Source organism: Homo sapiens, chromosome 15 (assembly GCF_000001405.40).
Source record: "Homo sapiens chromosome 15, GRCh38.p14 Primary Assembly".
NCBI classification, from domain to species: Eukaryota; Metazoa; Chordata; class Mammalia; order Primates; family Hominidae; genus Homo; species Homo sapiens.
Window position 1 is genome coordinate 39,719,494 of NC_000015.10, and position 17,888 is coordinate 39,737,381.

Genomic DNA, 17,888 nt, shown 5'->3' on the forward strand with positions numbered 1-17,888 from the left:
AAAGGGATCTTTGAAGCAAAATAAACTCATTTTCAAAAATCAAAAACAGCAAATTACCCGCAGCTTCGTAAGTTATCTGATATGCAAATAAGGCATGCGTTAGGATTGGGAAAATACAAACCTGCCTAAATAAAGACAGCTTGTCCTATGTTTTCGAGACAATGCTATACATTTCTGTAGGTTCCTGCTATTTCTTGTCATTAGATGGATCGTGTGTCTGGCAGTACCAAAAGCAGGGAAAAAGATACTTCAGGCAGATTGTTTTTATCACCTTGGAATAATGCCATAAAATGAAGGAAACCTTGACTACATCAGAAGCTTAACAGAGGAAAGCAAAGAAATATAAACTTCACAGTAATCTGTAAAATGGAGGTGGCAAGGGCAGTTTCCCAGATTTAACTGGAGATCTAACAGATTGGCACTGGAGGTAAAGAGCTCTGAAGTAACTTCTTGTTTGTTCCTCAAACCCAGAAATGCATGCTCCTGTGGCTTCTATGGGTTTTGGAAATGAGCAGATGGTCAATAAGATTTCTGTGCCTGTGACTAGCATACATTTAAAAAATCCTAAATTCCTGCCCTCAACCAACACACACCTAAGTACATTTGGGGTCAAGTAGAGTCCATGGCCCTTACTGGAACTATACAAATCCCTGGACCCAATAATAAAACATCTTTCAGAATTACATGTCAAACAATGGTCTGTATTTCCTCAATTTTAGCTAATATTGAGACAGGAAGACATCAAAAAAAAATTAATTGTTGCTGTCAGCAATAATAGCATGATCTTGGCAAGAAAGGAGATCAATACAAACTACAATTTTCCTCAATCAAATGTTTGCTAATTTTTTCTCAAGCTTATCAAATTGTGTACAATTGAATCAATATTTCAAGAATAAGAAAATAAATCAAATTAAGGAGGACCTTTATATTCAATTAAACTAGTTAGTTTAAGAACACAGCAATGCCTCCTGTCAAGGAGAGCCATTTCTGAGGCCCTCCCCAACCAGAAAAAAAATCTAACGGTGAACTGGAATTCTAGATTTAGTAAAGCTGACTTCATGAGAGATGAATAAAATATACTTGTATATAACAGCCAAATGGAATAGAATTTACTATTGAATCCGGTTGCTAAGGATTTAAGAAACTGAATGCTTACATAACTCCTATATCTTAGATATTTCTGGAGAGAACTGGAATCTGATACTTCTACGAATAAGAAGTATGGTAACTAAATTATAGAACATCACTCAGTTTTATGGTGGGATTTACAATACGTGGAAAGAACGAACTGATTTGTTGAGGGTTAGGAGATGGATAAAGAAAAGTATGCACAGTTAAACCACAGATCTTAAGAAAAAATTGCTTCAATTAGTTCTCTTGCTAAGACAAAATGAAAATAAAAAGCAGATGTAAAAACTGCAACCACATATTATTCACACTACAGAAAGAGCAGTAATATGCCATTCTTTCTTTTGACTGTGACCACAAGCTTTGTTTTATGCTAAGGAAATCAGATACGTAAAAGCCAAATGCTGCTTTTAAAACATTGCCATAAAGTTAAGTGCTGGGCCAGAGCATCTATATGAGAACATCACAATCAGTGAGCCCATAAGGAAAAGAAGACTTCTTATCTGCCCTTTTCACAAAGACCAACACCTCCTTCATCTCTGAGCCACATTCCTAGAGTTCCTCAAACTATTCTGACTTAACCACATTGACTCAACCACATTTATCATCTTAAATCTATATGCATACCAACTTACTACCTTATAGTTACCATACAGAGATAAGTCAGAAAGTCTATGTTTCAACTTGTTCAGAAAACTGTTTTCTTGACCAACAAAGATAAATCTTCAAAGGAATTTTTAAAATATCATGCCTTCATCAAATAACCTTTCCTTTCTCTGTGCTCCCGCAGCATACACTTTCCGTACTTTTCATCTGATCAGTGCCCATCTGGTGGTGGTTCTTGTTTCATTGCACAGTTACTCCACAACTTGTTCTATTGTTTACATCATATCCTCTGGTATCCTACAAGCTACCTTGAGGTCAGAGATCAAGCTTCATACTAGTCTGGACACTACATCAACCACTACAGTGTCTCCTATGAAATAAGCAGGCATTCAAAAATGTATTGACGATCTCTGCAAAGGCTGAACAAGTAACATAAATGCATGAAGTGGGCCTTAGGGCCTGCCATACAATATAGAGTGGTGGATACTGCAGCAAACCGGAGAATCTGTGCCCCATAGAAAGAGCAGTTGCTATTCATCTCAATTCGGTAATTGTCAAGCAAGAAGTTAGGTCTAATGCTGACATATTTTCTAATTTGAATTTTTCAAGAGAGAACTAGAAATTTGGATTTTTATAGGAATTTACCTAATTTTTAAATGTTGGCTAAAAAAAATCATTAAACCCTTTGTAAGCAAAAGCAGACCCATCTGGGAGCTTAATTTGTCCTGTAGGTCAGGGGCTCCTGACCCCCCAGGCCATGGACGGTTCTGGTAGATGGCTTGTTAGGAACCGGGCCCCAGAGCAGGAGGTGAGCGGCAGGCCCAAGTTCAACTGTATTTGCAGCTGCTCCCCATCACTCATGTTACCGCCTGAGCTCTCCCTCCTCCTGTTAGATCAGCAGCGGCATTACATTCTCACAGTAGTGTGAACCCTATCATGAACTGCACATGCAAGGGATCTAGGTTGCATATTCCTTATGAGAATCTAATACCTGGTGATCTGTCACTGTCTCCCATTACCCCCGGATGGAACCATCTAGTTGCAGGAAAACAAGCTCAGAGCTCCCACTGAGTCTACATTATGGTGAGTTGTATAATTATTTTGTTACAATATAATAATAATAGAAATAAAGTACACAATAAATGTAACATGTTTGAATCATCCCAAAACCATCCCCCTCTCTGGGCCCGTGGAAGAATTGTCTTCCACAAACCCAGTCCCTGACGCCAAAATACTTGGGGACCACTGCTGTAGGCCACCAGTTTTCAGCCTCGTGATACATAATGGTGGTTTTCTTCTGTGTCTCTGATCCCTCTGCCTCCTTCCCTAGTTCCTCTTCCTTCTCCTGCCCCTCACTTATGGAAATAGACTTTCTGGATACTCCTTGGATATGCTCTCTCTCTCTCTGCTCTAAACCACCACAGCACTTTACTTAGAGCCTTCTATGAATCTGGGCACTTTGGGAGGTTGAGGCAGGTGGATCTCTTGAGGCCAGGAGTTCAAGACCAGCCTAGGCAACACAGTGAGACCACACCTCTAAAAAAAATTAAAAAATTAGCTGGTGTGATGGCATGCACCTGTAGTCCCAGCTTCTGGGGACGGTGAGGTTGGAGGATCACTTGGGCCCAGGAGGTAAAGGCTGCAGCAAGCCATGATTGCACCACTGTACTTCCAGCCTGGGTGACAAGCGAGACCTTGTCTCTTGAAGAAAAAAAAAAAAGCTTTCTATGGCACCTGCCTGTGCTGTCTTGTCCACAGTTTTCTACGTATACTCAATACCTCCCATAAGGAAATAAGTTCTTTATATCACTTATAATAACATAATTGGCTGAGATCTGTGTCACTGTGCTAAACACTTTATGTATATTAACTCAGCTACCCATTACCTAAAGAACCTTAAAGAATATTACTATTATTTTATAAATAAGGAAAACGAGGTTTGGAGAGCTTCTAATTAGTGCCCAAGTCCACAGAACTAGTAAATGCAAAAGTCAAATTTGAAGTGAGACTGTTTTTTTTGAAACAGAGTCCCGCTCTGTCCTCCAGGCTGGAGTACAGTGGCGCGATCTTGGCTCACTGCAAGCTCTGCCTCCCGGGTTCACGCCATTCTCCTGCCTCAGCCTCCCGAGTAGCTGGGACTACAGGCGCCTGCCACCACACCTGGCTAATTTTTTGGTATTTTTAGTAGAGATGGGATTTCACCATGTTAGCCAGGATGGTCTGGATCTCCTGACCTTGTGATCTGTCTGCCTTGGCCTCCCAAAGTGCTGGGATTACAGGCGTGAGCCACCATGCCCAGCCTGAAGTGAGACTTTTTTATTCCAAAGTATTTTATTTGCCTGATTCATCTTTAAGTTCTGTAAAATTCCTTACATCCAGGAGCACTCAATATGTGTTGAATCAATTGTTCAAAAACAGAAATTTATATTCCACTCAAAAGAAATTCTTTCTTAAGGAGTATGGAGAAAAATTACTGGTGAGTTAATGGTTTGCAGAAGAGTTAAAGTGAATATGAACTATGAATGTTTGTGGATTAGCAACTGATTGGAACTCATTCATCAACTACATAGATACACAGGGTTTATTCAAGATACAGTGTATTTATACAAAAAGTAGTCCAATCCAAAAATAATATCCCTAAAATACTTTGCCATGTTAGCATTCCTGCTTTGAAAATTCAATGTGTAATGCTGGTTTTAGTTAGAAATGAAGAAATGCCAAAGGGAAATTGAACAAAAGCTCAAAAGATATTCTTTATTTTTGCATGCAAGAAGCATAAATTATTTCTTTTTAACAACTACATTACATTTTTGTTTTTACATCCAATGTGAGTCCCAAAATGTTGTTTTCCCTTTTCTTTCCAAATATATGTTATTTCACATAAAAACACGTAATCTCAGTATGTAACAAAAATGTAAGGTACTGGTTTTCCCTTTCATTATTTTTAAAATATCTTATCTGAACCATAAATGTGAACTCTGAAAATGTGATTTTGCTGATGATAAGAAAATGGGACCATATTCATACTTTTTTTTTTTTTTTTGAGACGGAGTCTCACTCTGTCGCCCAGGCTGCAGTGCATGGCACGATCTTGGCTCACTGCAAGCTCTGCCTCCCGAGTTCACGCCATTCTCCTGCCTCAGCCTCCCAAGTAGCTGGGACTACAGGCACCCGCCACCACGCCCAGCTAATTTTTTGTATTTTTTAGTAGAGACAGGGTTGCACCGTGTTAGCCAAGATGGTCTCGATCTCCTGACCTCGTGATCTACACGCCTCAGCCTCCCAAAGTGCTGGGATTACAGGCATAAGCCACTGCGCCTGGCCCATATTCATACTTTTTATTTGAAGTCCTAATAGCCAAACAAATCTCTGAATTCTCTGTCTCTTTTAAGAAGAGAAGGAAATAAAGGTCACCAGGTCATTCCCATGTTATATTTTTGCCAAAAATACATCTTTTGGATGGCTATATCAGTGCCTCGGACTTCACAGACTTCACTTCATTTGACAGCCATGAAACATTTTCTATATTTAAGACCACAGTTCAGCTCTGAGATTTCAGCTACCCTTGAAATCTAACAAGAACAACAAAAATCAACTGAAACATGAAAAGAATAGAGTATCTGTGAAACATTTTATTATCCCATCTAGGGTTCCTCCTTTTTGAAAAATAGAATTCAGTAACATAAATAAACTAGCCTAACTCATGTCAAAGTCCTGGGATACGGCCGGATGCAGTGGCTCATGCCTGTAATCCCAGCACTTTGGGAGGCAAAGGCAGGCGGATCACGAGGTCAGGAGATAGAACCCATCCTGACCAACATGGTGAAACCCCATCTCTACTAAAAATACAAAAATTAGCTGGGCATGGTGGCACATGCCTATAGTCCCAGCTACTCAGGAGGCTAAGGCAGGAGAATCACTTGAACCCAGGAGGCGGAGCTTGCAGTGAGCCGAGATCGCGCCACTGAACTCCAGCCTGGTGACAGAGCGAGATTCCGTCTCAAAATAAAATAAAATACAAAGTCCTGGGACACATTTGAGTGAAGACAAAGATTCCAATTATCTCTGTTTTCCAAGAATTCTAATCCCACTGCAGAATTTCAAATCAATAGTGAGAACAACAGCACCACTACTGCTGTTTAAAGGGTCAGAAGCAGCTGTTCCTGTCCGCCAGAAATACAACCAGTCACAAAACTGTTTCCTTGGAACACCTTCACACTGCTCCTTTCCCCTGAGGTTGCTTCAACTGGCATGAAGCTAGATCCCCAGCCTTCAAGTGACAGCTTAGAGAAAGTGCTTACTATGAATCAGAAGGATTACCTATAGGCTACTGATATTTAAATCTTTGGATGGTCCACAAAGATCATGGTCATCTACAATTGTAGAGAAAATGATTTGGTGAAAAGTTTTACAAAGCTGCTACAGGGTTATTACTCTCTTATGCAATCAGACATTTTCTCCTCAGTCTACCACCCAAACCAAACCAGATTCCATGAAGTACTAAAATATAGGGTTGAGGGAGAAATTTAATTTTCTGATATGCCATACCTTCTACCAGATTTTTTTTTTTTTTTTGACAGAGAATCTCGTTGTGTTGCCCAGGCTGGAGTGCAGCGGCACTATATCAGCTCACTGCAACCTCCACCTCCTGGGTTCAAACGATTCTCCTGTCTCAGCCTCTCGAGTAGCTGGGATTACAAGCATGCACCACCACACCCAGCTAATTTTTGTATTTTTAGTAGAGACAGGGTTTCATCATGTTGCATGTTGGCCAGGCTGGTCTTGAACTCCTGACCTCAAGTGATCCACCCACCTTGGCCTCCCAAAGTGCTGGGATTATAGGCATGAGCCACCGCACCTGCTTTGTAAAAGAGTATTTGAGGGAACTACTGAGAGAAGAAACACATTCATTTCAAAACTCTCATAGGAGAGAAGTCAACATAATGAGCTTCACTGCTTGATGTTAAATTAAAGGAGATAAAAGAATGTGGTGGAGTAAGGGACAATGGCTGTCATTGCTAATACCTAGTGCCACAGGAATAAAGAAAAATAAGGCTCTCAAAGGACTCGTGAGTGCCATATCCGCTTTCTTCCCTCCCCTCTCTCTTGATCATGATCGAGATTTAGCTTAAATCATAGAGATATAATAATATTAAAAGAAATATTTCCTCAGTGACCGCATCCCAGAAAATTACCAAATGAAAGAAAAGTGAGTAGAAAGTGGAAGTAACCAAAGGAATATACACACTGTTATGAAACTATGATCACTGGAAAAAGCAACTGGTTAACAACCAGATTGTAAAATTATGTGAACAGCTTTAGCACACATTAACTTGAACAGTCTATGGGTTCTTCAAATACCTGATTATTCCGATTTTCAAGTCTTGGAGAAAAACTGGAAATTGTAGGGGAGGCTGCAGAGAGTTCTTGGAGTTTTATATCAATTTCAGCAAGCTGCTGATGCTGGGTGACTGCAAGTTCATATCCTTTTACTGGGACCACCCAGCCAGACTGATCACCCTAAGAGGAAACAAGGGTCACCAGGTCATTCTCAGGCTATATTTTTGCCAAAATATACCTTTCAAGTGGCTATAACAGTGCCCAGGTCTTCACATACACACACAAACACACACACACACACACACAACACACACAAACAGAATTAACATTGGGTTAGTAAAAGAATAATATGAAATAGTTTCTGGTTTTGTTATCTGCCAGCCTGTATAAAGTATCCTCTAATATTTTAAGGGGGGTTTCCCCTGTGGAACAAATCTTTTAGTTTCACAGTCTGGTTCTCATGACATTCTCATTTATCTACATTCAAAAAATGTTTTGTGACATGTTAAGTAGGAAGAAATCAGGTTTACCCTGTAATGGGACATGGTATTTTCAAACTCTGTCCCTTAAAAGTAACATAGCATCTATAAAATCAGTTGCTTGGGTTTCACAAACTTAATTGATCATCTTTCATTCAACTAATGTTTGTTCCATATTATCTCATCAAACCCATTCATTACATTCATTCAAAAATAATGCCTACTGAACATATGTATTATGCTAGGCACTGGTGATTCAATATGAATATCACAAGGTTCTGCCCTCGAGGAGTTCTCAATTTCTTGGCAGCAACAATTTTAACAAGGTGTGAAGAGTGCTGGTAAGCTCTGGGCACCATGGGAACCAGAGAGGATCAACTAACCTCTGTGAGCAGGAAGGGGCTGGAGAAAACAAGACCTTAATCAAAGAAACACCATGATCAGGTCTGTATTTTAAAACTGGAACTACTGACAGCAAGAGTGGAAGCAGAAAGACCAGTTAAGAAGCAATAGCTATAATCTAGAACACAAGTGCTGAATGGCTGAACTAAGGAATGTTTTCTGGGAACACAGAACAGAATCCAGAGATACACAGGAAGTAGAATTTACAGAACCTGGAGATAATTTTATGGAAGAGTAAAGGCAGACATAAAGATCAAGGATAAAGAATAAGTTCCTCAAGACAAGGATGCCCACTCTCACCACTCCTATTCAACACAGTACTGGAAGTCCTAATCAGAGTAACCAAGAAAGAGAAAAAAAATAAAAGGCATTCAAATAGGAAGAGAAGAAGTTCAACTATCTCTGTTTGCAGACAACATGATTCTATACCTAAAAACCCCATAGTCTCTGATCAAAACCTCCTATATTTGACAAACAACTTCAGCAAAGTTTCAGGATGTAAAATCAATGTACAAAAATCAATAACATTTCTATATACCAGCAACACCCAAGCTGAGAGCCAAATCAAGAACGCAATTCCATTCACAATAGCCATAAAAAGAGCAAAATACCTAGGAATACAGCTAACCAGGGAGGTGAAAGACCTCTACAATGAGAATTAAAAAGCACTGCTCAAAGAAACCAGAGATGACACAAACAAATGGAAAAACATTCCATGCTCATGGATAGGAAGAATCAGTATTGCTAAAATGGCCATACTGCCCAAAGCAATTTACAGATTCAATGCTATTCCTATCAAACTACCAATGACATTTTTAACAAAATTAGAAAAAACTATTTAAAAAATTCATATGAAACCAGAAAAGAGCCTGGATAGCCAAGGCAATCCTAAGCAAAAAGAACAAAGCTGGAGAAATCATGTTACCTGACTTCAAACTATATTACAAGGCTACAGTCACCAAAACATCATGGTACTAGTACAAAAACAGACACATAGACCAATGGAACAGAAGAGAAAGCCCAGAAATAAAGCCACACACCTACAACCATCTGATCTTCAACAAAGTTGACAAAAACAAACAATGGGGAAAAGGACTCCTGTTCAATAAATGGTGCTGGCATAACTGGCTAGCCATGTGCAGAAGACTGAAACCAGAATTCTTCCTTACACCATATACAAAAATCAAGTAAAACCTAAATCTATAAAACCCTTAGAAGATAACCTAGGAAATACCATTGTGGACATAGTCCCTGTCAAGGATTTCATAATGAAGATGCCAAAAGCAATCGCAACAAAAACAAAAATTGACAAATGGGACCTAATTAAAGAGCTTCTGCACAGCAAGAGAAACTATCAATAGGGTAAACACAATTACAGAATGGGAGAAAATATTTGTAAACCATGCATTCAACAAAGGTCTAATATCCAGAATCTATAAGGAACTTAAACAAATTAATAAGCAAAGAGCAAAGTAGGCAAAAGACACAAACAGACAATTTTCTAAAGAAGACATACACATAGCCAACAAGCATATGAAAAAAACGCTCGACATCACTAATCATTTGAAAAATGCAAACCAAAACCACAATGAGATACCATCTCACACCAGTCAGAAAGGCCATTACTAAAAAGTCAAAAAATCACAGATACTGGCAAAGCTGCAGAGAAAAACACCTATACACTGCTGGTAGGAATGTAAATTAGTTCAGCCATTGTGGAAAGCAGTGTGGCAATTTCTCAAGGAACTTAAAACACAAGCACCATTCAACCCAGCAATCTCATTAATGGGTATATACCCAAAGGAATATAAATCATTCTACCATAAAGACATATGCATGCAGGCCAGGTGCAGTGGCTCATGCCTATAATTCTAGCACTTCAGGAGGCCAAGGCAGGTGTATGGCCTGAGCCCAGGAGTTCAATATAAGCCTGAGCAACATGACAAAACCTCACCTTTACAAAAAAATTTTAAAAATTAGCCAAATGTGGTGATATGCACCTGTAGTCCCAGATACGAAGGAGGCTGAGGTGGGAGGATCACTTGAGCCTGAGAGGTCGAAGCTGCAGTGAGCCATGACGACATCACTGCACTCCAACCTGGGTGACAGAGTAAGACCCTGTCTTAAGGAGAGAAAAAAAAAGACACATGCATGCGTATGTTCATCGCAGCACTAGTCACAAAAATCAACCTAAATGCCTTTCAATAGACTGGATAAAGAAAATTTGGGACATACACACCATGGAATACTATGCAGCCATAAAAAAGAATGAGATCACATCCTTTGCAGCAACATGGATGCAACTGAAGGCCATAATCCTAAACAAAATAACACAGGAATGAAAACTCAAATACTGCATGTTCTCACTTATAAGTGGGAGCTAAACATTGAGTACACATGGACACAAGAAGGGAACAACAGATACTGGGGCCTACTTGAGGGCAGAGGGTGGTAGGAGGGAGAGGATGGAAAAACTACCTATTGGGTACTATTCTTATTACCAGGATGATGAAATAATCTGTACACCAAAGCCCTGTGACATCCAATTTATCTACAGAACAAACCTGCATGTGTACCCCTGAACCTAAAATAAAAGTATTTATTGATTTAAAATAAACAACTTAAAAAATAATAAACTTTGTTGTGGCCTTACCAGAAAAAAAAAAAAGAACAAGTTCCTGATTTTGTGAAGTAGGTTATGGTGGTCACATTATCTAAACTAGGGATTCTATAGATGAAGTAGGTTTGGAGAGAAAGATAATGAATTGTTTGGGACCTTTTGAAACTGGCAGACATCCCCCTAGGATATCCACAGATTATGTTAGGCAGTTAAATATGTTTATGTGAAATTCAAGATAGAGGCTTGGGATTAAATAAACACACTTGACTTACCCACATATCTACAGTGGTTCAAACCCTGGGGGCTATGAGAATGGATAAGGTCATAAAGGGAAGCATTACTGCAAAAAGAGGACAGAAGAATCATGAAGAATATTTGGAATAACGTGTCAAGTAGAGGGCAAAGAAACTTATTTCATACATTTTGATTTCACGATGTTAATACCAGGAACTAAGCCCTAGGTGATAATCAGAGGCATTATAGGTAAAAACTTTATGCACAAAAACTTTTATATTTTTATCCTCTTGACCCTGGCATTCACAGTCCATTTCAGTGAAACCAAACAGTGTGTGAGTCTTGGCAGGGGAGGATCACGACAAGACACTCCTCCCCACCCTCTGATATCAGGAAGACAAACAAATGACCTAGATTCAGCTATTTGAAAGCAAACACCCCAAACCTTGAGGGACAGAAGCAAAGGTGCAGGGAAATGATTAACAGGGACAGTGATGGTGGCAGCAATGAGCATCTCGTGGAAAGCAAACGTCTGGTGGCTGCGGAGCCACAGCAGCCAGCCCCTAACCAGGCTGTTCCTAAAGCCATGTTTATGGCTGCCTGGACATCTGCCCGGTGTACAAACCTGGTTCCCCAAACTTCCCACTGAGTCTATGGACTACTCAAGACTCCCAATAAATTCATTTTCTGTTGCTTTAGCCAAAGTCCATCTTTGTTACTTGCAACCCAGAACGGTGACTGATAAAAAATTTATTGTCACACTATTTATAATAAAACGTCTAAAAATAGGGGGAAAGTGGGTAGATTGTAGTATATCAATATAAGGATTATGATATAGTCATAAATGTTTTTAAACACACTTGTAAGTTGGTATAAAGAAATTGATCCTCAGTGAGGTTCAGTTAGCTAAAGGCACACAACTCTGATAAACTGACAGAATTCCAGGTTCTGATTTAAATTCTATTGCTCTCCCTTGAAAATAAACATGGACAGCTTAAAAAAAAAGAAAGTTATGCATAATTTTTAAAATATACTATATTACCTAATTACTCACAAACTCTGGTAATTTTTCCTAAATAAAAGTGATGTCAATACCATATAGCCTAAATGATAAAAAATAAAGAATCACAAAAAAGTAAAACTATGAAATCGATGATGAAATAGTGGCTAATAAATTTTAAGTTCTGTCTGAATGGGATTATTTTCATATGACACTGAAGTTAAAAGAGTATGTCAGACGAAATTCACCAGAAATGTATATGTTTTATGCACTATGCCGTTACAGAAATAAGATATATGTAAAAGGTAGTAAATGGCATCATCATTTTTTTCTATCTGTCTAGCACCTCTATACACCCTTGCTATGTGTGGGGAACTTCTAGCTTTTAGGAAACTTACCTTCCCAAGACAGAACAGAAAATGCTTTTCACCAGCAACCTTTATAGCCAGGGTTCAGGTAGGTAACTAAGGGTCCACCACCAGACTCCCCGACTCAATACTACTAGATGTGAGTGACCTGAGATCGGATGCAAACCCATTTCACTGGTGAGGGTGGTAGTAGAGACATCTAGCTTAGCGGGTGCCATTCACTGCAAGTGTGAGTTCCCAACATAGATGAAAATATTTCTTAAATTCTAAGTAAGTATCCTAGAGCAGAAGTCCCCAACATTTTTGGCCCCAGGGACAGGTTTCCTGGAAGAAAATTATTCCATGGACTGGGGGGAATGGGGTTAGAAAGGATGGTTTCAGGATGAAACTGTTCCACCTCAGACCATCAGGCATTAGATTCTCAAAAAGAGCAGACAACCTAGATCCCTCCCATGCACAGTTCACAACAGGGTTCGTGCTTCTGTGAGAATCTAATGCTGCAGCTAATGTGACAGGAGGCACAGCTCAGGTGGTAATGCTCGCTAGCCCACCGCTCATCCCCTCCGGCTGTGCAGCCCAGTTCCTAACAGGCCATGGGCCCAACTGGTACCAGTCCCCGTCCTAGAGAGATTCAAGAGAAGATTACATCCATAAAATTATGCATGACGGTTGGGCATGGTGCCTCACGCCTGTAATCCCAGCACTCTGGGAGGCTGAGGTGGGCAGATCACCTGAGGTCAGGAGTTCGAGACCAGCCTGGCCAACATGGTGAAATCCCATCTCTACTAAAAATACAAAATTAGCCAGGGGTGGTGGCAGGCATCTGTAATCCCACCTACTTGGAAGGCTGAGGCAGGAGAATCACTTGAGCCCGGGAGGCAGGGCTTGCAGTGAGCCAAGATCGTGCCATTGCACTCCAGTGTGGGTGACAAGAGTGAAACTCCATCTCAAAAAAAAAAAAAAAAAAAAAATTATGCATGCTACTAAAAAAAACAACTAGAGAACAAGAGTTCAGGGGAATTAAAACATAATTATCATTTTAGTCATATCATTTAGTCTTCTTTAAGCTGTGCATTTATTTGTCAAAGATGAGGTTGTGGGGCACTTCATAAAGGAAAGGGCACATTTGAAAACACAGAGATTTAAAAGAACACAGAGAATTTGAGGAACAGCAAGAAGTTCGGTATGATTTGAGAATATAGTAAATAGGTTCCTTCTTCAAAGTTTTCCTAAACTTTTCCTGCGGCACTGCTTCTTCCTCTGAATTTCTATTCTAACATTTGTCACCATCCATCGGACTCTAGAATTTCTGTATGTTTACCTCCCACATCAGATAAGAGGACTTGCAGAAAGAACTCTCAGTAAATATTAGTGTAAATATTTTTTTTTGAGACGAGTCTCTCTCTGTTGCCCAGGCTGGAGTGCAGTTGGCTCACTGCAACTTCCACCTCCCATGTTCAAGCGATTCTCCTGCCTCAGCCTGCCAAGTAGCTGGGATTACAGGCATGCACCACCAAACCTGGCTAATTGTTGTATTTTTAGTAGAGATGGGGTTTCGCCATATTGGCCAGGGTTATCTCAAACTCCTAGCCCCAAGTGATCCTCCCGCCTTGGCCTCCCAAAGTGCAGAGATTACATGCGTGAGCCACCACGCTGGGCCTAAAAACAATTGCCTTTAAAAATCTCAAAAGAGAGCTACATGGCTAAGCAGCAGAACAACATGGTTGAAACCCAACTTAGAAAACTGTAGAAGGAGCTCGTATGTACAAAATGACAAAAACGATTAACATTATGAGAAAGATGTTATAAGACCTGGAAGAGAAATCCAAGAGGTCCTATAGCCACCTGTGGCAGACACTGTCTACTGACTGACATGATCCCCATTTCTACCTCTACTACAAAAAAAGAGTAAGTCATATACCTGAATCCCCCTTCTCACTTGCAGCAACATACTGAACAAATGGCTACGCGATACAGCTTGGCCGCTGAGATGCAGGTAGAAGTCCTGGGGACACCATTCCATCCCCAGTGAAAAAGCAAAGCCTCAGAGGACAGTCTCTTTGCTTTTTACCCTTCCCTCTTTCTGTCTGCTTGGAAAATGGACACACTGCCTACAGATGTAGCAGCAATCTTGCAAACCTAAAGACAAAATCCGCATAGGAATGTAGAACAGGAGGACAGAAAGACATGAGCTGCTCACTCCTGGATTTCTTGTTACTAGAAAAAAGTAAACTCTTTACTGTTTAAGCCACTGTTACTGGCAGCCAATCACATTCTCAACTGATACCTCCCAAAAGGAGAAAAAAGAGATGATGGAAAGGAAGAAATAATATAAGATAATTTTCTGAGCTGAAGGAAGATTTGAACCTTCAGGTGAAAAGAGCCTACAAGGTACCAAGCAGGAACTGAAATGTTTTTAAAGACACACACAAATATAATCTGATAAAATTGTGAACTCCAAAATAAGGAGAAAATCCTACATGCTTCAAGAAAAAAAGGATTTTGCAAGTAGAATTTAGTCATCTGCTAAGCTAACATTCAAATGAGGAAAAAATAAATATTTGAATACACAAACACTCAAAAATTATCCACACTTCACCATTTCTTGGGGCAAAATTTTTCAAAAAAGTTCCAGAAAAATAATTCAAGGAATGATTTATACAAATAAATAATTCGTTGAGTCCAAATACACAGTTAATGATGTGGCTAAAAATTTTGGCTAAATTTTGTTTAGAGAGATTCCTAACATACAAGAAGCATACTGTTTTTAAAGGTAAAAACTAAAATGTGTAGTATTCTAGAACTAAAATTCCAGATGATTTCAATATATCCTGGAGGAAAGAAAATGAAACACAAGGGAAATGAAAGTACACCAAAGATCCAATCTTGTTAAAATATGAAATTTTAGAAACTAATTATTGAAGTTGAAAAGAAAATACGCATTTTAATGTATTTTTAAAACTTGAAGGTTAACAGTACCAGATCAGAAATAGGATATTAAGTTTCCAAACCACAAGAGGATAGGGAGATAAACAAAAACAAATATGATAAATAAAATATAAAGTTTGATGTCAGGAAAAGATTCAAAAAGTATGCGGTCGTAATGAATATGAGCAAATTAAATATGCTCATATTGATAATAACAAAAGATAAAGGATGAAGAAACAATTAAAGATAAAGACACAAAAGCAACAGCAAAAGCCCAGCTACATAGTACTTGTAAAAGATCAAAAACTAAAATGATAGAGATGACCTTAAACTAGAAAGATGAGACATAAATACTAACAAAAATAATATGCAAAAGGCAGTATTATTAACAAAAAGTCATTATGAAAGCATTCCTAGAATGTATCAAGAAAATCTATCGCCATAGTTTGATACGCAGTGAGACCATGGGTAGCAGTTTACCCAATTTTACAATTAATAACAAAACCAGAATGAAACCCAGATCCCTTAATTCTTACTGGTATCTAAGCTTTTGTTAATAAAGTAGACAAATTACAGTTATGTGTCGCTTAACGACAGGAATATGTGTTCTAAGAAATGTACCATTAGGCAATTCTGTCATTGTGCAAAAATCATTGGGTGTACTTACACAAACCTAGATGGTAGAGTGTACTACACACCCAGGCCACATTGTAAAGCCTATTGCTCCTAGGCTATAAACCTGTACAGTATGTTTTGTAGTTACTGTGTTGTAGGTGATTGTTAACACAATAGGAAGTATTTGTGAATCTAAACATATTACAACATAGAAAAGGTACAATAAAATATGGTATAAAAATCTTTTTAATGGCATACCTGTAAAGGGCACTTAACCATGAGTGGAGCTTGCAGGAGTGGAAGCTGCTCTGGTGAGTCAGTGAGTGAGTGGTGAGCGACTGTGAACACCAAGGACATTACTGGCTGCTACTGTAGACTTTATAAACACTGTAAACTTAGGCTACACTAAATTTATTTTAAAATATTTTTCTTTATTTAATAATAAAGGAATTTTTACTGTAACTTTTTTACTTTTAAAACTTTTAAATTTGTTTAACTTTTTCGCTCTCTTATAATAACACTTAGCTTAAAACATAAACACAGTATAGAACTGTACAAAAATATTTTCTTTCTTTGTAAGCTTTTTCCTATTTTAAAATTTTCTTTTTTTATTTTTAAGATTTTATGAAAAACTAAGACACAAATGCACCTATTAGCCTAGGTCTACACAGGGTCAGGATCATCAATATCACTGTCTTCCACTCCATATCTTGTCCCACTGGAAGGTCTTCAAGGGCAGTAACACGCATGGAGCTGTCATCTCCTATGATAACAATGCCTGCTTCTGAAATTCTTCCTGATGGACCTGCCTGAAGCTGTCTTACAATTCACTTTTTTATATGTAAGTACAAGGAGCACACTCTAAAATATAGAGCTACGGTGTCACTAGGTGACAGGAATTTTTCAGCTCCATTATTATCTTATGGGACCACTGTCATGTATGCATGTTGACCAAAACATCATTATGTGGCACATGACTATACCATGAACCAGCGAAGCTGAAATATCTCAGAATTATGTGGGCATTTAGCAGTTTCCCTCACCCACCCCTTTCCCCTACTTCATCAGCCCCAGGCATAGCAACACCTTCACCTGCTCCTAGACACAGCCCCCGCTGGGACCTCACCATCTCAGGAAGGATTATTTAGAGGATTATTATGTGTGATATTCTGTAGATATGTTTTTGCTTTTTGGTGGAAGGGAGGGATATTTTGTTTGCCCACACAGAACTTTTTTAAATAGGAGCAGTTGTGAACATTTTACAAGTTTAATGTTTCTCACAAAAAAATCTGAATTTCTAGCTTCCCTTGAAAAACTGGAGGATCCAGGCAGGCCTGGCCTGGGATTTCCATGCAGCAGACATTGAGTGTTACCTCCCACTGGACGGGCACACCCTCCTCCCCCGTGGGCCACAGGGATCACTGCACATGCACTGCTTTTAGACTTATAGCAAAAAAAACTACGCTCTGAATCTCTGTGTCCCTAGATGTGGAAACTAAGACAAGGATTCTTGTTCAAGTAATTCACTGGGAGAGTGCCTTTGGGACCAGGGACATGAGGAAAACAGCCGAGGGCAAGGGCACAGGGCCAAGCGAGGATGTGGTCTCAGCTGAAGCTCAGCTTCAGTCTGATCCCTGGGGAAGCTATGGAGGACACACTGCACCAGAGAGCTAATCTCACATTTAGGTAAGGGGCCTAGGGTGGGGAGGGAGTGATATCCTGGGCTGTTTGGCTCAGGGAAATTCTCAGGGGAAGGGGACAGCTGTGCACCCTTAGCACAGGGCTGGGGCGTGGATGCACAGACCAGTTTCAGGGAAAGGGGATATGGGCAGGGGGCCAGCAGCATTCACTCCATCATGTCCTTATTAAATGCAGGGGAATAAAAGATATACAATAGAGCTAAGTGCTTCAAGGAACATAGGACAGTGTATTTCTTCACAGAAGCAAAGGATATTTCTCAAGTTTAGTATGTAAACAAGTGCAAACATTGGGCCACAGCACTCTTTAGGTGACCTTCCCGGGCCCTATAAATACCTGCGTTTGCCCCACCTCACCCCCATTACATGCTGTTCCCCTCTTTCACTTTAGTCTGTACCCACCCGGACTTATCACCATAAGCAGGCCCTCCTGTTAACCCCAGGACTCTCCAGGGAACTGTGTGCTCAAAG

At 39.6% G+C, this 17,888-nt stretch overlaps 1 protein-coding gene across 8 annotated transcripts in view; it reads right to left on the reverse strand.

Moving 5' to 3' along the window:
• The window catches only part of FSIP1 (fibrous sheath interacting protein 1), a 185,402-nt gene that overhangs the window by 122,054 nt on the left and 45,460 nt on the right, over window positions 1-17,888 (reverse strand). For all 8 annotated transcript variants that reach the window (XM_011521305.4, NM_001324338.2, NM_152597.5 and 5 more), the window contains one exon: window positions 7,096-7,254. In XM_011521305.4, the coding sequence (XP_011519607.1) occupies window positions 7,096-7,254 (159 nt within the window). The remainder of the gene's footprint in view (window positions 1-7,095; window positions 7,255-17,888) is intronic.